Source organism: Homo sapiens, chromosome 19 (genome assembly GCF_000001405.40).
Source record: "Homo sapiens chromosome 19, GRCh38.p14 Primary Assembly".
In the NCBI taxonomy this organism is placed as follows: domain Eukaryota; kingdom Metazoa; phylum Chordata; class Mammalia; order Primates; family Hominidae; genus Homo; species Homo sapiens.
The window spans coordinates 57892324-57916655 of record NC_000019.10 but is presented as its reverse complement, the minus strand read 5'-3'; the positions used below and the strand labels follow the sequence as shown (position 1 = coordinate 57916655).

General features: G+C 44.9%; 2 protein-coding genes across 6 annotated transcripts in view, besides 1 other annotated feature; both read left to right on the top strand.

The window, feature by feature from the left end:
• Positions 18 to 307: an enhancer, noted in NCBI's record as "active region_15169". NCBI's record gives its function as "activates an Ori minimal core promoter by ATAC-STARR-seq in GM12878 lymphoblastoid cells {active_cell/tissue: GM12878}" and the evidence as "EXISTENCE:reporter gene assay evidence [ECO:0000049][PMID:35858748]".
• On the top strand, positions 64 to 10882 carry ZNF417 (zinc finger protein 417). 5 transcript variants are annotated; one of them, NM_001297734.2, is made up of 3 exons: positions 64 to 277; positions 4470 to 4596; positions 6542 to 10882. In NM_001297734.2, the coding sequence occupies exons 1-3, from the start codon at positions 245 to 247 to the stop codon at positions 8104 to 8106; spliced, it is 1725 nt and encodes a 574-aa protein (NP_001284663.1). In that variant the 5' UTR covers positions 64 to 244; the 3' UTR covers positions 8107 to 10882. The 5 variants fall into 5 exon arrangements, with proteins under 5 accessions (NP_001284663.1, NP_689688.2, XP_011524775.1 ...); NM_152475.3 differs by having other exon boundaries at positions 4467 to 4596; XM_011526473.4 differs by having other exon boundaries at positions 64 to 2052.
• Positions 10883 to 11527: 645 nt separating this feature from the next.
• Positions 11528 to 24332, top strand: part of ZNF814 (zinc finger protein 814) — a 35748-nt gene continuing 22943 nt past the window's right edge. The window contains exon 1 of the mRNA XM_047439309.1: positions 11528 to 14999. The gene's annotated coding sequence lies outside the window, so the exon portion shown is untranslated. The remainder of the gene's footprint in view (positions 15000 to 24332) is intronic.

The following is a 24332-nucleotide window of genomic DNA, read 5'->3' as shown; positions in this document are numbered from 1 at the left end:
CACTCGGAAAGAAGGCATTTCCACGTGTGCACGTAACGTAAGGCTGAGACTTCCGGGGTCTCTAGTAGCGGCTGTGTATCGGTGACGCGGGTGTTTCCCCAGTTTGTGGCCCCTGAGTGCTGGGGGGGGACCGCGGTGACTGAACCTAGAAGGTGGAGAGGAATCGTCCTCGGTGCCCAGAGGCGGCTCTGCAGCCCCGTGACGGCGACCACTGCTCCCGGGCCGTGCTTCCCCAAGTAGTCCGATGGCAGCGGCTGCGCCGAGGCGCCCGACTCAGGTAATTGTGGCGCCTTCTGTGCCCTCAGGTCACCCCATCGTCACCCAGGTCCTAAACCAGCGAGGGAGCGGCTCCTGCTCACGGGTCTGTAGCCGGTACCCGGCGTAGGAACACTGAGGCGCTCGCAGGAGGGGTCCCTGTGTAACTGTCCAGTGGGGGTCCCTGTGTAACTGTCCAGTGGGTTCACCTTGCCAGCTGCCTAGACAGAGCCGATTTATGAAGACTGGAGAATTGCGATGGAGAAATAGTAATTGACGCAGAGCCGTCAGGCTGTTCTGGAGACAGGAGTTTTATTATTACTCAAATCAGTCTCCATTAGCATTCCGGGATCAGAGTTTTCAACATTAATTTGGCGGTAAGGGTTGGGACCTGAGATGGATTCATAGAGGGTTAAAGTGAGTTTTTCATGCTGTTTTCTGTTCTGGGTGGGATGGCAGAACTGATTGACCCAGATTACCGGTCTGTGTGTTGTCAGCTGATCCATCCAGTGCAGGATCTGCAAAATACCTCAAGCACTGATCTTAGGTTTTACAATAGTGATTTATCTTCAGGAGCAACTTGGGGAGGTTCAGACTCTTGGAGTCAGAAGCTGCATGACCCCTAAACGGTAATTTCTAACCTTGTAGCTAATTCGTTAGTCCTGCAAAGGCAGGCTGTTCTCCAGGCAAGAAGGGGGTCTTTTCAGGAAAGGGCTATTATCAATTTTGTTTCAGAGTGAAACCATGAACTGAATTCCTTCCCTAAGTTAATTCAGCCTATACCCAGGAATGAACAAGGACAGCTGAAAGGTTGGAAGCAAGACGGAGTCAGTAAGGTCTGATTTCTTTCACTGTCATAATTTCCTCAGTTATAATTTTGCAAAGACGGTTTCACCTGTTTCTGACACCCGTGGGATGCGGTGGGGAGAGCAACAAGCACAGGGAGGGGCGCAGGCAATGGCCTGGAGATGGACGGAGCCGGGAGGATGGAACCTGTCTGGAACAAAGTGTGAGGTGGAGCTCTCCCTGGAAGAGTAAGCAGGCCGAGGGCTGTGCATTCAAGGTGAGGACGCTAGAAGCCATGGAGAGTTTTGAATAAAGGAGGGACATGATCCAAATCCAGGCTTTTAAGGTTTCCCAAAGGACATTCAAAGGAAGAATATCGTAGAGAGGATGAAGACTTTGGGGTCTTGGGAGGTTGAATCCTTTTTGTAGCTCACATAGGTGGTAGAGATGACATTTTGCACTGAGACAAGCAGGTCAGACAACCAGCCGTAGGGTTACCTGGTTCCAGGGACAAGAAAGGGTTCAGGGAGGCCTGAGCTTATCAAATCCCGTGACATGTTTGTAATGTCTGCCTCTCCCCTCAGGCACTCCTGGCTGCAGAAGCACTTAGGGAACCCACACAGGGAAGTGGAGGGTGTTCAATCCCCTCATTGGTCTTGACCCCATCCACAGGTTCTCTAGCTTGTGGTGTGCTGGGACTCTTAAGTGCCATTTTTTCAGTCCTTTGATCCGAGGACCCTGGAGAATCTCTAAAGACAGGATACTGAGGCCATGGCAGGTTATATGCAAGTATGCCCATTTCTGTCAGCCAGTGTAAACACTCTTGTAAGATTAACCCAGGATTTGCTACCAGGTTGTGAAATGCTTAGAGATAAAAAGGATCAAAGTCAGAAGGTGATATTACCACAGTTCTACTGGCTACCGGCTTCATCTGGTTGGACCTTGGTGCACACACTATGGGTTGAGGGAAGAGGAAGAAATGTCAGAGATAAGGCTCCTGCCATAATCCAGGTGAGGGTTAGTGGATCAGATACGTGGCAAATCACATGAGTCTGGATACAGGATTCACTTTTTGTAAAGAGACAGCTAGGTTTTCTTTCTGTCTTTTTTTTTTTTTTTTTTTTTTTTTTTGTGGAGTTTCGGTCTTGTTGCCCAGGCTGGAGTGCAGTGGTGCAATCTTGGCTCACTGGAACCTCTGCCTCCCGGGTTCAAGCGATTCTCCTGCCTCAGCCTCCAAGGTAGCTGGGATTACAGGTGCTTGCCACCACGCCCAGCTAATTTTTGTATTTTTAGTAGAAACGGGGTTTCATCATATTGGCCAGACTGGTCTCGAACTCCTGACCTCAGGTGATTCGCCTGCCTCAGCCTCCCAAAGTGCTGGGATTACAGACATGAGCCATCACGCCTGACAGACAGCTAGGTTTTCTAATGCGGATGATAAGGGCATGAAAGAGGAATCAGGCATGAGCCCAAGGTTTTTGATCTTAGCAGCTGTAACCATGGACGCTGCATCAGCTGACATGAAGTTGGTATTGACATAATATTGACTGTGGATATCAAGAGTGTTGTTTTGGCCATATGAAGAGTCAGTGACCAATAAATGGTGGCATTAAATGGATAACTAGACATACAGGATGGGGTATCTGGGAGGGTGTTGATACTGGAGACATCCAATATTTGAAAGCTAATGGGTGAACTTCAGTAAGTTAGTTATGGGTCCATTTAGGAGGACATGCTTCAGATTTTGGTGGTAAATCTTTTCAGGGGCCAGGAAGGTGTGACTACAGGCTGAGGAGTGGATCTCTTACTTACGTCCCTGAGTGATGTTATTGGGCTTCCTAAACACCTGAGAGGGTGTGAGTGAACATCATGGCAGGATGTATCAGACAGTAGAGTTTGGAAGGGGACATAGACATCCGAGGAGAGAATAGATGAGATAGATGCATGCAGAAGCATAGGAGTAAGGAAGATGACACTTCTGCCTGAGTTGGTGCCAAGTTGTAACTATTTATCACTGTCTGGATTCATAAACGTTTTGAGATGACTTTGGGAGTGCCTGGAGAGTTTCATTCAGCTTGGTGCATGTGGGCAGTGAAAAATATGCTCATCTGTGATAGTAGATGTGGTTTGGTTCACAAATCCAGGGGCTGGGCTTTAAACAGCATTAGATGGACAGAGGAGGGTTGCTACAGCTGAGGTCTCAGCTGGTGCAGCACAAAAGTGAAATAGGTCCATGGATATCTGAAGCCATATGTGGTTCTGTGTGGCTATGGAGTCATTCCGGGAGACGTTCACAGGATGATTTGGGATTACCACTGCTATTGTAAACCATGGAAATTCTGTGTTAATATTGGATCCTATTTGTATTTGTCAAGCATAGTCTGGATGCTTATCCACATTTTGGTATAAGGCCAGAATTGAAGGCCCAATATGATGTGTCACTTTGACATCTTGTGAAAGTGGGACAACCTTAAAAGGTGTGAGTACAAATCTCATTCCCACTCTGCTCTCTTGAATAATGTATCCTAGCCTAACAGCCCGTTTTATCAAGGTGATAAGGCAGGGTTCCAGGTTGTTATATTTTGTGGTGGGTTTCAATTCCATCCCTACCAGCAGAGTTATGGAAACAAACCATTGCATATTCCCAAGGGAATCATGGGCCGTTATACCCTCTTCATCTTGTGAAATAATTTTATTTGTGGGGGCTGGGTGCAGTGACCCACCCCTGTAATCTCACTTTTGGAGGCCAAGGCGGATGGATCACTTGAGACCAGGAGCTCAAGACCAGCCTGGCCAACATGGTGAAACCCCCTCTCTACCAAAAAAAAAAATACAAAAATTAGCCGGGTATAGTGGTGCGTGGCTGTAATCCCGGCTACTTGGGAGGCTGAGGCACGAGAATCACTTGAACCCAGGAGGCGGAGGCTGCAAAGAGCCAAGATCATGCCACTGCACTCCAGCCTGGGTGACAGAGCTAGACTATGTCTCAAAAAAAACCCCAAAAAACAAAGTTCTATTTGTGGGGATGCCAGAGAGAGGCTGATGGTAGGGAAAACTCAGGTAGGGGTGGCCATGGGGATGTGTCTTTGCAGTATAAAGAATGATGTATATTTAGAGAGGGAGTTTGTCCAATGGGCTCAGGCAGCTGCCCTGGGCTTTACATGAGCTTGGATATCGCTATTCAGAAGGGGATGGACCTTTTTATGTCAGGACCTCAGCATGGATACCTATTTGTCCACTTACTGCTTATTGCTGATGGCAATTGACCAGTGGGCCCATGAAGAGACAAAGGCACTAGTGGACATAGTTTCAACACTATGTTGGGGACCTTGGGAGGAGGATGGGCAAGTGTGGGTGTGTGGGAGAGGTGGGTTGTGGTACCTCAGCAGAGGGGCTGTTTGTGGTTTCATCTGTCACTATCATAGCAGGGCACTGTGACCTTTGAAGATGTGGCTGTGAACTTTTCCCAGGAGGAGTGGTGTCTTCTTAGTGAGGCTCAGAGGTGCTTGTACCGTGATGTGATGCTAGAGAACCTGGCTCTCATATCCTCGCTGGGTAAGTTGCTCACGCTCACCTTTGTGACCTGAGCTAGTGTTACTGTTCCCCTGTTTTTCATTGACAGGACTGTCTTTCTCACTTAAGGAGCCTGGACACAGGTTCCTTCTACACTTCTCTATGTAAGTTGTGTGTATTGCCTTTTCCTTTCCTTAAGCACCTCCAACACCTGCTTTGCTCCAGGCTCCCAGGGAAGGAGTCAGAGTCAGGAGTCTAATAGGCACCTAAGTGTATCCACTTTGCCTGCTCTCTGGCTGTCAGGTGACTGTCCAAATCGGTAGCTCTTGTGTGCCCAGGTTCTATTAACACTTCCTTCCTCTATCTGACAATGCTTTGTGCCTCCCTGTGCCAAGAATTGCCTTCATTGACATTGTCACTACCTACATAGACCATAGACCATAGACTCTTCTTGCAAGACCCTGCTTAGGAATTCTTTTGTAATACTTACCTTACTCTCCTGTGGGCTGTCAGGTGCTTAGTTGTCCTGAGCTAGTGTTGGCTGTTCATCTCTGCTGTCTCTCCCTTCATAGTTACATCGTCGGGTCCTATGTACTGGGTGTGAGATGGAGAGACCTCCATGTTTGACAAGATGTGGTTCAATTCAGGCTCATCACGATAGGCTCAAAGGGAGCCTGTCCCTCAGGAGTGCCATGCTGGGGGAGGGCATGACTTCAGGGGTTTATCCAAATCATACCAGAAACCATTTATATTTGCCAAGTGTTTTTGTGGCAATATGAGTAGGCACACACTATTTGTCTTTTTCTCCCCATTGTTGAGAGTTTCACACGTGTTAGTTCTGTACCTTTTCACTTCTACTGTGATATCCACCCCAGCACTAATACTCACATCTCACCCATTTTTCTTGTGCTTTCATCTGCACTTGTCTCTGATATTGGTGTATCGATTACATATTAGGAAGTGTATGCCCTATGTTAAACCATCCATGACCACCCTCTGCTGTGTTGTACTCATGTTTTCTTGGTCTTGACATATGCTTCTATATTTATATTTTTTGAGATGGAGTTTCGCTCTTGTTGCCCAAGCTGGAGTGCAATGGCACAATCTTGGCTCATTGCAACCTCTGCTTCCCAGGTTGAAGTGATTTTCCTGCCTCAGCCGCCCAAGTAGCTGGGATTACAGGCCTGCACCACCACACCTAGCTAATTTTTTCTTTTTTTAGTAGACACAGGGTTTCACCGTGTTAGCCAGGCTCGTCTCCAACTACTGAACTCAGGTTATCCACTTGCCTCACCCTTGCAAAGTGCTGGGATTACAGGCATGAGCCACCGCGCCCAGTCCATATGCTTCTACATAGCACTCACATGTCATTAGGAGATAAGGTCCCGTACACAACTTGTGTTTAGAGGAAGGAGCTGTGGACCCTGCCTCTACTCCCTGTGTTGCCTGTATGCTTGTGCTCTTTACATCATGAGGCCTCCTGGATTCTGTGACCTTTATAGCCCAGTAATGCTAGGCAGCTCATTCTTCTTTTTATTATTATTATTATTATTTTGAGATGGAGTCTCGCTCTGTTATCCAGGCTGCAGTGCAGTGGTGCGATCATGGCTCAATGCAAACCTCCACCTCCCGGGTTCAAATGATTCTCCTGCCTCAGCCTCCCGAGTGGCTGGGATTACAGGCGCTCACCACCACATCCAGCTAATTTTTGTATTTTTAGTAGAGATGGGTTTTCACCATGTTGGTCACGCTGGTCTCGAACTTCTGACCTCAGGTGATCCACCCGCCTCAGCCTCCCAAAGTGCTGGGATTACAGGCGTGAGCCACTGCGCCCGGCCAGCAGCCCCATCTTCAACTTGAAGCCAACATTGTGTTCCTGCAAATATTTCTATAGATTAATTCCTCAATTTGTGAGACGTACTTGTGGGTGGGCTGTGCCTTCCCGTCAGAGGTACTTTGCACTTGACCAGCATTTTCTTGCTCTCAGGTTGTTGGTGTGGATCAAAAGATGAGGAGGCACCTTGTAAGCAGAGAATTTCTGTACAAAGAGAGTCTCAGAGCAGGACTCCTAGGGCAGGTGTTTCTCCTAAGAAGGCTCACCCCTGTGAAATGTGTGGCCTCATCTTGGAGGATGTTTTTCACTTTGCTGACCACCAGGAAACTCATCACAAGCAGAAGCTGAACAGGAGTGGAGCATGTGGAAAAAACTTGGATGACACTGCATACCTTCATCAGCACCAGAAGCAGCATATTGGAGAGAAATTCTACAGAAAGAGTGTCAGAGAAGCATCGTTTGTAAAGAAACGTAAGCTCAGGGTGTCACAGGAGCCATTTGTCTTCCGCGAGTTTGGGAAGGACGTTCTGCCCAGTTCAGGATTGTGCCAAGAAGCAGCTGCTGTAGAGAAGACAGACAGTGAAACTATGCATGGCCCACCCTTTCAGGAGGGAAAAACTAATTACAGTTGTGGAAAACGCACAAAAGCCTTCAGCACCAAACACTCAGTTATTCCACACCAGAAACTTTTCACTAGAGATGGATGTTATGTGTGCAGTGATTGTGGAAAATCCTTTAGCAGATATGTCAGCTTCAGTAATCATCAGCGAGATCACACTGCAAAAGGACCTTATGATTGTGGAGAGTGTGGGAAATCTTATAGTCGAAAGAGCAGCCTTATTCAACATCAGCGAGTCCACACTGGAAAGACAGCTTATCCCTGTGAGGAGTGCGGGAAATCTTTTAGTCAGAAGGGCAGCCTTATTAGCCATCAGCGTGTTCACACTGGAGAAAGGCCTTATGAGTGTAGAGAATATGGGAAATCTTTTGGTCAAAAGGGTAACCTCATTCAACATCAGCAAGGTCACACTGGAGAGAGAGCTTATCACTGTGGGGAATGTGGGAAATCTTTTCGTCAGAAGTTCTGCTTTATTAACCATCAGCGTGTTCACACTGGAGAAAGGCCTTACAAGTGTGGAGAATGTGGAAAATCTTTTGGTCAAAAGGGCAACCTCGTTCAACATCAGCGAGGTCATACTGGAGAAAGGCCCTATGAGTGCAAGGAATGTGGGAAATCATTTAGGTACAGATCCCACCTCACTGAACACCAGAGACTTCACACTGGGGAAAGACCTTACAATTGTAGGGAATGTGGGAAATTATTTAACAGGAAGTATCATCTTCTCGTTCATGAGAGAGTTCACACTGGAGAAAGGCCATATGCGTGTGAGGTATGTGGGAAATTATTTGGTAATAAGAACTGCGTGACTATACATCAGAGGATTCACACTGGAGAAAGGCCGTATGAATGCAATGAATGTGGGAAATCATTTCTTTCCAGCTCTGCGCTTCATGTTCATAAAAGAGTTCATTCTGGACAAAAGCCTTATAAGTGCAGTGAATGTGGAAAATCCTTTGCTGAATGTTCCAGTCTCATTAAACACAGGAGAATTCACACTGGAGAAAGGCCTTATGAATGTACCAAATGTGGAAAAACATTTCAGCGAAGCTCTACCCTCCTTCATCATCAGAGTTCACACAGGAGAAAGGCCTTATGAGTGCAGTGAATATGGGAAATCGTTTGCTGAAACATCCCGTCTCATTAAACACAGGAGAGTTCATACTGGAGAAAGGCCTTATGAGTGCTGTCAATCTGGGAAACATCAGAATGTCTGCTCTCCTTGGTCTTAAGAGACTTCGCATTGGAACGGAGTCTCATTCTGTCACCCAGGCTGGAGTGCAGTGGTGCAATCTTGGCTCACTGCAACTTGGGCCTCCCAGGTTCAAGTGATTCTCCTACCTCAGCCTCCCAAGGAGCTGAGATTACGAGTACACCACACCATGCCCGGCCAAATACTTGGTTTTCAGTACCACAAGAGCTATGAGCTGGTTATCCACTTCATGTGGAATCATAAGTGTCCCCAAGTGACAATACGTATAGATTGCTGGGCAGTGAAACAGTTAAGATGTCACCGTAGCTTGCTTTCTATTCAACATCTTTCTAAGATTACCTTACTATTTCTTTTGTTCCAAGTTTGTATTTCCTCAGAGTTCTCACATATGGAAAGGATACACACTTTGTAGAAACAAGAACTTTATGTTATCCAAGTTCTGGGATAGCCATGAGCTCCAATTACCTCAGAGCTCCGAGTCCTCTACTCAGTACCCGTTGAGATTTATGTGTTCTGAGGCTTTTGTCTTCTAGCTACTTACTTCATTCTCCATGGGTAACGTCATTCATCCACATTAACTAATTTCCTCACTCCAAGCTCTTTTCTGGAGATAATCTCCAGTCCCTGTGCAGACACTGTCATTGCACTTTCTGCTGAAATGGTAGTTTCTTGCCAGCAAGGTGAGATTATGGAATCCAGAATCTTTTTTCAGGGGCCACATGCCCATTTCCCCACTTGCATGAATGTCGACACTGTAGCCACAGTTTTGGCCGTAAATGTGAATTTGGCAAGTAACCACTGTTCCCAAATTGGGAAATGTCCCAGTCAGAAGAAGATTATCTGGGACACTGATACTGACAGGGAGATGGGACATTCTGAGGGACCCGGAGGCAGGGAGCCACCTCCTCAGCTTCCCTGAGGGCTGCCTAGAATCTCTCTTGTTTCCTCTCACTCTGAATTATTCTTCCTCTCATGACTGACCAAACACATGGAACCTCACAAAGTCCATTTTAAGAGCTTTATCTTGTGAAGTGAAGAACATGAAGATAGTTTGAATCAAAGTTATTGAGTGGACACTTAATGTCTTTATAACATTTTTTACATATGTGTTTGTGTTTTTTGGGGAGCATAATTTGCAAATGGAATATCTGTTATTTTACTAAGATGCTTCATGGATACAAGAGTTAAAACTTCCTGTCCCATTTAGTGAAACAAAAGGTTAAGAAATGTGGATAAAGCTTGTAAGTTAGAAATGGCAAGATAATCAGCTATATGAAGAATCTCAGCTGGGTGTTTTGGCTCAGGCCTGTAATCCCAGCACTTTGGGAGGCTGAGGTGGGTGGCTTACAAGGTCAGGAGTTCAAGACCACCCTGGACAATATGGTGAAACCCTGTCTCTACTAAAAATACAAAAATTACCCAAGCATAGTGGTGGGTGCCTGTAGTCCCAGCTGCTTGGGAGGCTGAGGCAGGAGAATTCGTTAAACCTGGGAGGCATAGGTTGCAGTGAGCCGAGATTGCACCACTGCACTCCAGCCTGGTGACAGAGCGAGACTCCGTCTCAAAAAAAAAAAAAAAAAAAAAAAAAAATCTCAATCCCTAAATGTTACCTTTTATAACAGCAGGTTATATGGGCTTAGATATTATCCCTAAATTTTTTTTTTTTTTTTTTTTTGAGACAGAGTCTCACTCTGTCACCCAGGCTGAAGTGCAATGGCATGGTCTCGGCTCACTGCAACCTCCGCCTCCCAGGTTCAAGTGATTCTCTTGCCTCAGCCTCCCAAGTAGCTGGGCCTATAGGTTCCCTCCACCACGCCCACCTAATTTTTGTATTTTTAGTAGAGATGGGCTTTCACTACGTTAGCCAGGCTGGTCTCAAACTTGTGACCTCATGATCCACCCCCCTCAGCCTCCTAAAGTGCTGGGATTACAGGCATCTGCCACGGCACTCGGCTTATCCCTAGAAATCCTATGATAGCATGATGTATAGGCACCTAAAGGCATGGCACTTGAGAAATGTGAATAAGATTGTAAGTTACAAATAGCAAGGTACAGTCAGATGTTAACAGTCTCAGCCCCTAAATGTCACCTTGTATTACAGCATGTTATATAAGCACATACAGGCACATACATGAAATAGTGATACTTCATTCTCAGTAATATTTTTCATCCTTCTCACTGGAAAGATCTTTGATGATTTTTAATCAACATAGGAGTTTCAATGATATCTAGAAGTTTAAAAGGGCTCGTTCAAACAAATTATGACCATACACCCTGAAGAGTATGTGTCTGTCTCTTGTGGTGTAAATTTTTATTTTATTACACCCAATTATGTTCCCACAAAACCTTTATAATTGGGAAATTAAGGAGCCTTCCTCGGAAATGGAGGTTGCAATCAGCTGAGATGGTACCACTGCACTCTAGCCTGGGCAAAAGAGCAAGGCCCTGCCTCAAAAAAAACAAAACTTTTTTCTTCATAAACTACAGTTTATATAGGCAAAACTTTCAGTACTAAGCAATTTTAGTCTCTGCAGGCTCTTGTCTTGAATTAATACAACTTTTGTTAATTCTCTTATGAAGTTAAATCTTCCTGCTTGTATGCAACTTATATGTTGAAATTTTTTTGTACAAAAGATTCATACATCTTTCCTGTTTGAAATTATTTTACCGTGCTTCATCAATCTAATGTTTGTTATTTTTATTACACCAGTAATTTCCTCATTGTGTTGAATCTGAAAGTGGCATAGAAATTGATACGTACCTAGAAATGTTTAGCCAGTCGGTGTGTATTTGATGTAGCAATTTTTTCCTTTGAATCACATACTCTAAGAGAAGTAACTTCCTCTTGCTAACCTCTACTTTGCCTAAGTGATGAATTAATCCTCTTTAGATGATTATAGTTATCTTTTCAACACTTAGCAAGAAAGAATCTATAAAGAAGAACTATAAATCTGTAAAGAAGAACTTTCCCAGCCGGGCGCAGTGGCTTTGGTTCAGTGCTTCTCAGCCTTTTGGCTAAGATCAAGTGTGAGACGCAGTTTCACTCTTACTGCCCAGGCTGGAGTGCAATGGTGAAATCTTGGCTTACTGCAACCTCCGCCTCCCAGGTTCCAATGATTCTCCTGCCTCAACCTCCAGAGTAGCTGGGATTACAGGCACCCGCCACCACACCTGGCTACTTTTTTATATTTTTAGTAGTGACAGGGTTTCACCCTGTTGGTCAGGCTGGACTTGAACTCCTGACCTCAGGTGATCCACATGCCTCGGCCTCCCAAAGTGCTGGGATTATAGGCATGAGCCACTGCACCCAGCCCCCAGCATCATTTTCTTCAGAGAACATTCGAGGATTCTTCATGATGGCTGGGCTTTTTTTTTTTTTTTTTTTTTTGAGACGGAGTTTCACTCTTGTTGCCCAGGCTGGAGTGCAATGGCACAATCTTGGCTCACCACAACTTCTGCCCCCTGAGTTCAAGCAGTTCTGCCTCAGCCTCCCGAGTAGCTAGGATTATAGGCATGCACAATCACACCTGGCTAATTTTGTATTTTTAGTAGAGACGAGGTTTCTCCATGTTGATCAAGCTAGTCAGGAACGCTCGACCTCAGGTGATCCGCCCGCCTTGGCCTCCCAAAGTGCTGGGATTACAGGCGTGGGCCACCACTCCCGGCGATGCCTGGGCTTTCATTGGGTATTAAGTCTACAAACAGCACCTTCAATTTAAACTGTCAATTACAGTTCTTAAGATTTAGGAAGTGATGGAGCTTGGAAAGTTACGAGATTACAAAATCCGTGAAAGTCCATTAGAAAAACCACAAGATGGAAAAAAGTATAAACCAGGCCACAAAGAAGCTTCAGAGGTCCCTGCTGTCCCAGGGACAGATACCTGCAGTGTCCAGCATCTCAGTGAACATGACCTGCTTTCAAAGGCAGGGGCTTAAAGCGAGGGTGGCATGGGACCGGTGGAGGCAAAGTGTTGGGGTGATCAGACCCAACACCTGGTCACTGGGGCTATGAAGTCTGGCAGAGTCAAAGGAATGAGACAAGACAAGAGTACATAGGGTGGGTCTCAGGGGCCAACGCCAGTATGGAGGCTGCAAAGGCCCTGAGCTCTAGGAGCCCACACTATTTATTGGTAATCAAACAAAGAAGCAGGTGGAGAGGACGTGCGGATGTGGGGGCAGACAGGTGAGGATGTGGGGGTAGAAAGCGGTGCATCAAGCGTAGCTGTGATGGCTTAGCATATGCTCTGCTACTTGAGATAAGGGAGAATAGGTTCTTCTAATTCAAGATACAATCAATTTATGATCTTGGGAGAACAAAGTGCAAGGGGCCAGTGAGTCTGGACACACTCCAAAGGCTACAGAGGGTTTTATGCCCTGAGCCCTGGGTTCTCTCCAAGCCACAAGGGGTTTCATACCCTGGGTTTAGATTGTACTGCGGCAGGGCAGCCTTCCACCCTTTGGCACAGAGTTTGGTGTTCCAAAGGTCATGAGGGGTTTTAGACCCTGGACCCAGGACATGTTCCAAGACTCTTTTACATTATGTCAGAAAAACGAGCCCTGCCTCAGCTCTTCTGCCAACATGTCTCCCTTTTTTGTCCTGCAAAACCGCCACAGCTATCATTGCTTGTTCTTGGCAGCGGCTTTCTCTCCAGAAGCGGCTTCCGCATCTGTAGATTAAAAGGAGACAGCACAAGCACATAATTATTAGAACAAAATTTACAAGTGTAGAGTTTCCAGTGGTCTTAATCCATTTAAGAGAATTGATTGCAGACAACCCATTGGCTGCCTCGCTGAAAATATCAGTTCCAGGGAGCAGGGTTAAGTGAGCCTGAGAGGCTTCAAAAACCTGCTCTTTTACTTTTACAATATCAAGGGTGAGATTTTCCTCTCTGCCCACTAGATGGCATTTAATTTCCCATTGGTGTTCTGTTTCATTCTAACTATGAGGAGTAACGCAAAAATCGGATGTATTCCAGTCACATTGCATTTGAATTCTAGTTTCTAAACTTATGATGCAATCCCCCATCCAAATTACTGTCTGAGGGAGATCATTAATTTGACTAACTATATTTTGATCTGTTTGGGCCTGAGAGCTCCATAATTTCATAGAATTCTTTTTCCATTTATCAACAAATTTGACAGTTTGCACAGATGAGTGTAAAGCCACACTAGCTACTGCAGCAGTGGTGGTAACTGCAGTGAGGCCAATTATAGCAAATATAAGAGCAACTATAAATCTTTTTGAACGGGATAAGAGTTTTGTAAGGATCTCAGTTATAATGTGAATGGACGGTGATGCCTCCCATGGTCTATTTAGAGACACAGGGATCCAAACTCCTTCTCTGGCTCTAATTAACAAGATAGTTTGATTTTTATCAAGATGTCGTTAATGCAAGTAAACAAGTGACATTCCTGGCAGGTGATAAAACGGGTATTTATGTAAAGAGTAATATTTCCGGCCTGGCGGGGTGGCTCACACCTGTAATCCCAGCACTTTGGGAGGCTGCGGCGGGCGGATCATGAGGCCAGAAGATCAAGACCATCCTGGCTAACACGGTGAAACTCCGTCTCTACTAAAAAAAATAAATAAATAAAAAGCCACAAAAAATTAGCCGGGCATGGTGGTGGGCGCCTGTAGTCCCAGCTACTCGGGAGGCTGAGGCAGGAGAAAGGCATGAACCAGGGAGGCAGAGCGTGCAGTGGGCCTAGATCACACCACTGCACTCCAGCCTGGGGGACAGAGCGAGACTCCGGTCTCAAAAAAAAAAAAAGAAGAGTAATATTTCCTACTGCTAACGTAAAAGGTGGTCGGACACAATTTTGATTCCAAAAGGTCCTGTTAGAAAGAAAAGAGAGAACATATTTATATTTACCTCCCTCCCCTTTATACTTATTATATTTACCCTCCCAAATTGTGATTGAACTTTGAGCCATAGCTAATTTCCATAATCCTGAATGTTCCTGTCCTATGGCAGGAGATATCATTTTTGGAATAGGGGTGATAATGCCACCAGGGCTCCATATAATAGGAACATCAGCTTCCGTCTGAATGTACCGTGTATGGTTCTCTTTCCAATGAGTCCATCAGCTTATTTTATAAGAAGGCCCTTCAGTGCAATTTTTCTTAAAAATCCCCTTAGGGGACCAGTCAATGACGATTCCATAGGAATTATTTTGTAGCACCCCAGCCTTACTTGCTACACAATTTCCCCAATGCCAAGCGTCCACACCTTCAAACCAAACTCTATTTTGTTTACATTCGAGTTTGTCTGGTCAGAACTGCTGAGTTTCAGGGCTGGAATGGTTATATTTTAAACTTTGCCCTGAAATCATATATAAAGTAGCCTGTGATTTATTTTTTCCAGGGATTACTGCCAACCATACTTGTGTGCCAATTTGTAAGCATCCAGCAGCAGGTCCTAGGCATATTGGAGGATATTTATATCCTATTGATATATTCATTTTCATCCCTTCCTCATTAGGATGCATCGGCACTCTGTTATCTATGGGCTCAGGCATCGAGGTTCTGTCATTGTTGTACACCTCAATAATAGGGTCCATCCAACTCACAGACCTAATTAAAGGAGGAAATGGGACATAAGTCCAATAAGTAAAATTTTGAGTTGCTTTTACAGTAGGGAGGCTTACCGCCACAGTAAGTACCACCATCATAGCCACCATTAGGTTACTAGTTGTTTTTGATTTGTTCTGTGCTCTCAGATTGTCCTCTGCATCTGTGCCAGTTTCCTGATTTGTCCCCATGTTGGAGGGTCTGCCTGGTGAGTATTCTTGGTCTTTTCCTTTGTCTCTGAGATTTTCATTCATGCCATCACTCGTATAGGGAGTTCTGGCTCTTCCCAGAGTCCTCTCTTCCTGGTGTGGCTCATGATAGACCTTCAGATGTTTGGTGGGCACCCACAGAGGCACCTGATTGTCACTTGGAGAGACAGAAGCAAATCCTCTTCCCCATGTAATTATTTTTCCTTTTTCCCAACTCTTTGTATGTGCATCCCTCCACTGTATATCTTGTCTGGCATTTTTATTTTCCTTTTGTCCTGTTAAGTGTTGTTCAGCTGCTGTCATGGGCTGATCCTTTTGTAAATTTAAAAAATTTAATGTTAATAAAGCGAGGTGTAATTGTATATGTAGGGTTTTATATACCTGGTCTCCCTCTTTCTGTTTTTGTAACTGAGTTTTTAAGTTAACAATGAGCTCTTTCAACTATCTCTTGTCCCTGTGAGTTATATGGAATACTTGTAGTATGAGTAATATTTCACTGCTGTTAAAATGCAGCCATGGCTGCTGGGCGCGGTGGCTCACGCCTGTAATCCCAGCACTTTGGGAGGCCAAGGCGGGCGGATCACGAGGTCAGGAGATCAAGACCACGGTGAAACCCCGTCTCTACTAAAAATACAAAAAAAATTAGCCGGGCGCAGCGGCGGGTGCCTGTAGTCCCAGCTACTCGGGAGGCTGAGGCAGGAGAATGGCGTGAACCCGGGAGGCGGAGCTTGCAGTGAACCGAGATTGGTCACTGCACTCCAGCCTGGGCGACAGAGCAAGACTCCGTCTCAAAAAAAAAAAAAAAAAAAAAAAAAATGCAGCCATGGCTTTGCTGCAATACTCTGGGCCATTATCGGTTTTGGTTTTTTCTGGGATTCCCATAACTGCAAAGCAAAAAAAAGGTTTTTTAACATGAGCTGTAGCTTCCCCTGTTTGATATGTGGCCCAGATAAAATGTGAATAAATATCTACTGAAACATGAACAAAGGACAATTTTCCAAAAGTGGGAATGTGTGTTATGTCCATCTGACAGATGGAATTTGGAGATAGACCTCTAGGGTTAACTCCTGCTCCCTGATGTGGCAGATGCAGGACTTCACCGGCAGAAAAGTGTTTTACAATCTCCTTAACCTGCTTCCAGGATAAGCCGTATCTTTTTCTGAGGCCTGCAGCATTAAGATGGGTTAAGGAATGGAACGTTTGTGCATCGGCAAAAGCTGCAGAAACCAGTGCATCCGCCCTTTGATTAAGTTAAAAGGACCAGGGAGGTTAGTATGTGCTCTCATATGAGTAATATAGAAAGGGGAATGTCTTTGTTGTACTGCTTGTTGTAAAGAATGAAATAAAAGATTAAGTTGTTCATCAATATTTTGTGTGATTTGCACCACATAAGCTGAATCAGAAACAATATTAACTGGCTTTTTTAAAGTTTTCAGTACTGTAATTACAGCAATAAGTTCAGCCCTTTGAGCAGAAGCAAAGTCAGTTTGAAAAACTTGTTGTTGAGGTCCCACAAATGAGGCTTATCCATTACTAGACCCATCAGTAAAAACAGTAATGGCCCCTTCATTAGGGGCTTTTTGAGTAATAGAAGGCAATATCCAGGATGTTAATTTTAGAAATGGAAATATCTTAGATTTAGGATAATGATTATCAAGAATGCCAACAAAACCTGCCAAATTAACTTGCCATTCCTGGGAATTAATGTAAGTTTGCTGAATTTGTTGTTTGTTTACTGGAACTGTAATTTGATTTGGATCATATCCCATTAACTTTGTTGTGTGCAGCCTTGCTTGTCCTATTAGTACAGCAATTTGATCTGAATACAGAGTAAGCGTTTTGGTTGTATTGTGAGGTAGAAAAAGCCACTTCACCAGATCATTCTGTTGAACAATAACTCCTGTAGGTGAATGTTTAGTAGGAAAAACTAAAAACTGTAATGGCTGCATAGGGTTAATTCGTTTCACTTGTGCTTGTTGAATTTTTTCTTCAAGTAATTGAAGTTCCCCTAATGCCTCTTTGGACAGGGAGCATTTACTGTTTAAGTTAGAATCACCTTGTAAGGCAGAAAAAAGGTGAGACATAGCATAGGTAGGAATGCCTAAAGTTGGACAAATCCAATTAATGTCTCCTAATAATTTTTGAAAGTCATTTAAAGTTTTTAAATTATCTCTTTGAATTTGAACCTTTCGAGACTTAGTAGCACTTTGTTCTACCTTCATTCCTAAATATTGAAAGGGAGTAGAAGTTTGGATTTTATGGGGGGCTATGATTAGTCCTGCAGCAGTTACAGACTTTTCTGTTTGTGGCATAGTGTTAATTCCTCCCTAGTGTCAGCTGCACATAAAATATCATCCATGTAATTGATAATATAACATTTTTTAAATTGTTCTCTAACTGGCTTAATAGCTTTTCCAACATAAGTTTGACAAATAGTTGGACTACTTAACATGCCTTGTGGGAGTACTTTCCAATGGTATCCGCTGATTCTTTGTTATTTATAGCGGGAACAGTAAAAGCAAATTTTTCATAATCTTGGGTAGCTAAAGGAATGGTAAATAAGCAATATTAGAGGCCAGTATTTTGGAATCATTGTTGGAGAGGGCAGCCCTGGTTGCAGTGAGCCCATGGGTTGAATTACAGCATTAACAGCCCTTAAATCTGTTAACATTCTCCAGTTACCTGATTTTTTCTTTTCTTTTTTTTTTTTTTTTTTGAGACAGAGTCTGGCCCTGTCACCCAGGCTGGAGTGCAGTGGCACGATCTCAGCTCACTGTAAGCTCCGCCTCCCTGGTTCAGCCATTCTCCTGCCTCAGCCTCCCCAGCAGCTGGGACTACAGGCACATGCCGCCACACCCGGCTAATGTTTGTATTTTTAGTAGAGACAGGGTTTCACTGTGTTAGCCAGGATAGTCTCAATCTCTTGACCTTGCCATCCACCCGCCTCGGCCTCCCAAGTTCTGGGATTACAGGCGTGAGCCACCGCGTCCGTCTGATTTTTTTCTTAATAACAAACAGGAGAATTCCAAGGAGAGAAAGTAGGCTCTATGTGTCCCTTTTGCAATTGTTCCTGTACTAATTCTTTTAAAGCCTCCAGTTTTTTCCTGTTTCAGCGGCCATTGCTCCACCCAAACTGGTTTGGCAGTTAACCAAACAAGAGGAATGGGAGCTGGAGGCTCAGCAATAGCCGCTCCTAAAAATGATACCCTAATGCGGTTCGATCTGTTCGCCCTTTTAGTTCTAAAGGTTCTGGTTGGTCACTTTCATTCTTTCCTAATCCTTTTCCTGGGAGATATCCCACTTTTCTCATCATTTGTTTACTGTTATTACTATACTGATCCATAGGAATAGATATTTCAGCACCCCATTGTTGCAATATGCCCCTTCCCCATAAATTGACAGGAATAGCTGTAATAATAGGTTGAATCGTCCCTTCTTGGCCATCCAGCCCTAGACATGGCAAAATTAAGGAACTTTGAAAAACTTCTGAAGCAGCTCCTACTCCAACAATACCAATGGATGCCTTTTGTTTGGGCCAGTGTCAGGGCCATTGATTTAAAGCAATAATAGAAACATCAGCTCCAGTATCTACTAACCCTTCAAAGTCCTTTCCTTGGATGGTTACTGTACAAATAGGTCTCTTATCAGACATTCAATTAACCAAATATACAGCTTTCCCTGCTGAGTTAGTACTACCAAAGCCTCCTGTTCTTTTTACAGTGCTGTTTCCCAGTTTTGTATAAGGTAACAGCAACAACTGAGCAATTCTTTTTCCTGGGGAAACAGACCACAGAGTTGAGGAACTAACAACTAGTTGAATCTCTCTGGCATAATTAGAATCAATTATTCCTCTATGTACAGTGACACCTTTTAAATTTAAGCTAGACCCTCCAAGCAATAGACCAACTTTTTCTGAGGGTAAAGGGCCCCTAACACCCATGGGGACCTTCTTTGGTGGCTCCCCAGGAAGTAGGGAGTGGGAATTGTGCTGCAGAGATACATGGCAGCACTGCCTGCTGTGGCGGGGGACAATTGTTGTACGTTTGTAAGGGCACTGACTGTGCGGATATGCCTTGGTTTGTTGAGGGGCCTGAGGTGTGCCCCTCTTCCCTTTTCCCAAAAGAGGTTGTCCATCTTTACTAAATTTAGAATGACACTGTCTTGTCCAGGGATTGCCTTTCTTATACCGGGGGTATACATCGGGACTTTTCTGTTGATTGATGGTAATAGTTTTGCCTTTTGATTTCCTTTTCTACATTCCTTTTTTGTGTGTCCAAATTGCCCACAATTAAAGCAAGAGCCTGAAAAATGGGGCGTATTTTTCCCACCTTTAATCCAGCCATAGCTTGAGCTAAAAGAGTAGCCTTGTGTAAGTTACCCCCAATGCCATCACCAGCCTTAATATATTCAGCCAAATGAGCCTTCCCTCTCATAGGTCTAATAGCATTTTGACACTCTGTATTAGCATTTTCATATGTAAGAAGCTGTATTACAACATCTTGAGCTGTTTTGTCAGTTATGGCCTTATTCACAGCCTCCTGGAGCTGAGCAATAAAATCAGTATATGGTTCTTTAGGTCCTTGTCAGACAGAACTGAAAAAAGGATATTTTTCTCCTGTAACATTTATTCTGTCACATGCCCGTAAGCACACAGTGCATAACTGAACAATGGCAACATTCTCCATTACTGCTTGATTTTCTAATTGACCCCAATTAGGACTGACTCCCTTTAACTGTTGAAAGGAAACAGGCACAGATGGCTGTGCTTGTGTTTTTTCCCTTGCCTGAGTTTGAGCTTCATCAGCCCACCGGGTTTTAAACTGTAAGTACTGAGATAGAGTGAGAACAGATTTTGTTAAAGTATCCCAGTCATATTTTATCAATCTATTATTCAGAGCCACATTTTTTAGTAAAGTTTGTACAAAAGGAGAATTTGGCCCATATTGACTAATGGCTTGCTTAAATTCCATTAATAGCTTAAAAGAAAATGTGGCCCAACTAGCTATATTTTTCCCTCCTTGCTGGGTGATAGTAACAGGAAATTGCCATGCTTCAAGGTCTCCCTCAGCTCTAGCCTTTTGAATAGAATTTTGTATAGCACCACCAATTGCTCCAGATTTTAATGTTGCAACTACAGGAGCAGTAAATTTTACAGCTAATTCATTTTCTCGCCCATTATGGGGAGGGAAAGGAGGTGGCCATTCACTTAATTCAGCAGGTGGAGCTGATGGGTTAGTAAAACATACCCTTTTCAGTTTCCCTTTCTTAATTTCCTCTGGTTTTTGCTCCTCGCATTCAGAATCTGAAGTTAGTTTTTTACACACTTGTCTTCCTCATCTGAATCTGTCTCGTGATCTGTTTGAAATGGCTCAAGAGCAGCCTTTATCAATGCCCACACCAACCAATCAGAAACTGGAATTTTGGCTCCTTCTTTATAAGCCTTTTTAAAATCTCTGCCAATTCTTTTTTTTTTTTTTTTTTTGAGATGGAGTCTCGCTCACAAAAGTGGCTCGCTCAAAGGCTCTCGTGCCCCTTTTTTCAGGTGCGCTCTCATGGCGACTGGCCAAAGAGGCACCCCTCTGTGCAAACGTAAAATTTCTTTGCTAAAAATCGTTTGTTCGAGTGTTCAATTTCCTTAAAATTTTGAGCGTTATTCCTGACACTATGTATAAACAAGTACCTAGGGTGGACGCATTCCTCCTCTGACTTTCGGGAAGAGCCTGCTCTGTCTATGGAGTGGCTATTCTGTCATCACTTTACTCTCTTAACAAATTTACTTTTCTTTGCACTGTGGACTCACCCTGAATTCTTTCTTGTGTGAGATCCAAAGAACCCTCTCTTGGGGTCTGAATTGGGACGCCCTTTCTGGTAACATCTTTCTGGTGAACCTTGAAGGGATGATACTGAAGAAACCCACCGGCCCAAAGGAAATAGGCTGCAGCACTAATTGGCCGACTTTGGGTAAGTGGTGGGGCACCTGGGTAAAGGATGAGATTGGGTTAGAGGCCCAGCTTAGGGAGTTAGAGTCTCTCCTAAGACAGAGAGGGTTAAAGTTTCCTCTCAATAAAAGGCAAGGACGTGGCCAGGTGCGGTGACTCACACCTGTAATTTCAGCACTTTGGGAGGCCGAGGCGGGCGGATTGCCTGAGACCAGGAGTTCGAGACCAGCCTGGCCAACATGGTGAAAACCCATCTCTACTAAAAATACACAAATCAGCCAGGTGTGGTGGCACACACCTGTAATCCCAGCTACTAGGGAGGCTGAGGCAAGAGAATTGCTTCAACCCAGGAGGCAGAGGTTGCAGTGAGCCGAGATCGCACCACTGCACTCCAGCCTGGGCAACAGAGTGAGACTTCATCTCAAAAAAAAAAAAAAGAAAGAAAAGAAAAGAAAAGGCAAGGAGGCTTGACTGACCCTGGGTTTGAGGCCCAATTTAGGAAGGTTAGAGTCCTTCCTAAGATTTAGTCCTTCCTAAGAGTTAGAGGCCCCTCTCAGTAAAGTCCCTCTTGGCTAAGAACTGGTTTGGCACCACAGGATGTCAACTTTGCATTAATCTGTCTTGTCCTCTTTGCTGTATGAATCAATCTCTTGGTTGCTCTGCTTCACTGTCATTTTCAGGGGACTTCATTTAACTTGTCTTAGGGCTTTTATTATACTCTTCCCCTGTGTGCCTTCTGATTTCCATCCATTTGCTTGTGAAACATTGGGAACAAAAAGCATTGAAGGCTCCGTTTCTAAAATTGCGTATTCAGGTTTGGTATTTAACAGCTATGAGCAATAAGATTAGATAGATGTGGCTATGATTTTTTTTTTTTTTTTCTGAGACGGAGTCTCGCTCTGTTGCCCAGGCTAGAGTGCAGTGGTGCAATCTCGGCTCACTGCAAGCTCCACCTCCCAGGTTCATGCCATTCTCCTGCCTCAGCCTCCCAAGTAGCTGGGACTACAGGCACCCGCCACCACGCCCGGCTAATTTTTTTTTTTGTATTTTTAGTAGAGACGGGGTTTCACCGTGTTAGCCAGGATGGTCTGGATCTCCTGACCTCGTGATCTGCCCGTCTCAGCCTCCCAAAGTGCTGGGATTACAGGTGTGAGCCACTGCACCCAGCCGGCTATGCTTTTTGCAGCTATGCCAACTAGGTGTGATCAAGAAGCACTAGGATACAAATCAGGGGACTTTTCTCCTTGCTGTTTTGTTTCATTTACAGACTAAAAACAAAATGAAACAAAATAAGAAAACCCACTTCTTTTCTTTCTTTGATTTGGGCAAATCGGCTTCTTTTTTTTTTTTTTGAGATGGAGTCTCACTCTGTTGCCAGGCTGGAGTGCAGTGGCATGATCTCAGCTCCCTGCAACCCCCACCTCCTGGGTTCAAGCAATTCTCCAGCCTCAGCCTCCTGAGCAGCTGGGACTACAGCCACCATGTCCAGCTAATTTTTGTATTTTTAGTAGAGACGGGGTTTCACCATGCTGGCCAGGATAGTCTTGAGCTCTTAACCTCGTGATCCCCTCACTTCAGCCCAAAGTGCTGGGGTTACAGGCATGAGCCACTGCACCTGGACTTTTTTTTTTTTCGAGACAGAGTCTCGCTCTGTCACCCAGGCTGGAGTGCAGTGGCACCATCTCAGCTCACTGTAACCTCCACCTCCTGGGTTCAAGTGATTTCCTGCCTCAGCCTCCCGAGAAGCTGGGATTACAGGTGCACACCAACATGCACGACTAATTTTTTTTTTTTTTTGAGATGGGGTCTCTCTCTGCCACCCACGCTGGAGTGCAATGGTGCAATCTCAGCTCACTACAATCTCCACCTCCCAGGTTTAAGTGATTCTCCTGCCTCAGCCTCCCGAGTAGCTGGGATTACATGCATGCACCACCACACCCGGCTTATTTTTTCAATTTTTAGTAGAGACGGGGTTTTACCATGTTGGCCAGGTTGGTCTCGAACTCCTGGCCTCAAGTGATCTGCCCACCTCGGCCTCCCAAAGAGCTGGGATTACAGGCATGAGCCCCCGCACCCGGCCATGACTAATTTTTTGTATTTTTAGTAGAGATGTTGTTTCACCATGTTGGTCAGGCTGTTGTCGAACTCCTGACCTCAGGTGATCCACCTGCCTCTGCCTCCCAAAGTGCTGGGATTACAGGTGTGAGCCACCACACCCAGCCAACTGACTGGTAGGAAATTCTTGCTGGGTGCAGTGGCTCATGCCTGTAATTCCAGCACTTTGGGGGGCCCAGGCGGGCAGATCACCTGAAGTCAAGAGTTGGAGACCAGCCTGGCCAACATGGTGAAACCTTGTCTGTAGTAAAAATACAAAAATTAACTAGGCATGGTGGTGCGTGCCTGTAATCCCACCTACTCAGGAGGCTGAGGCAAGAGAATCGTTTGAACCCAGGAGGCGGAGGTTGCAGTGAGCCGAAATCACACCACTGCACTCCAGCCTGGGCGACAGTGCAAGACTCCGTCTCCAAAAAAAAAAAAAAAAAAAATCAATAACAAAAAAGAAATTCTTACCCTTTTGCTGGCATTCCAGCATTCCAGGCTTCTGGTTTGCCTTTCCCTGAGAGCCTCTAGTGACCCAGCTGGCTGCACCACACCCTTGGGGGCCAATCTGCAATACAAAGCTAAATTATCTTTTTCCATTCTGGCCAGAGCAAAATACGTGTGACAAAACATACACATTAGCCACTCGGCTCCGCCTGGAATATCTAACAGGCAAGGCTCAAACTTGCCCTGGTTGGGCCCCATCATCTTTAATCCAACCTCCGACCATGAGTTTCAACTTGGTCTCTGGGCAAGATGGTCACCCTGAATAACAGAAAAGATAAGAAAGGGAAAGGAGACAGAGAAAAACATTGCCTGTGGCAGGGTGGGGAAGGCCAGGAGCTTAGAGAGGCCAGAGAAGCCCCCCCCACTCCCATTGCAGTGACACTGAAAAGTTCAGGTGGCTGCTTGTCAGTAGCAAGGGGATCTTTTCCAGCAGTCCCATCAGCTCGCAAGTTTTCCCTTTTGGGGAGGAAAAAGCTCCCCATGTCCCATGATCCTGTACATTCCTAGTCCTGTCACCCATAGCCATCAGCAAGGCAGATTATTCCAAAGAGAACAGCAGTTAACAGCCCATTGTGCCAAACCCATTCCTAGCCAAGAGGGACTTTACTGAGAGGGGCCTCTAACCCCCTAACTCTTAGGAAGTAATCTAATCTTCCTAATTTGGGCATTGAACCAAAGTTTGGTCAAGTGTCCTTGCCTTTTATTGAGAGGAGCCTTTAACCAGGAGAGACTCTAACTCCACCAAGTTGGGCCTGTAAACCAATCTCATTCTTTATCTGGGTATAT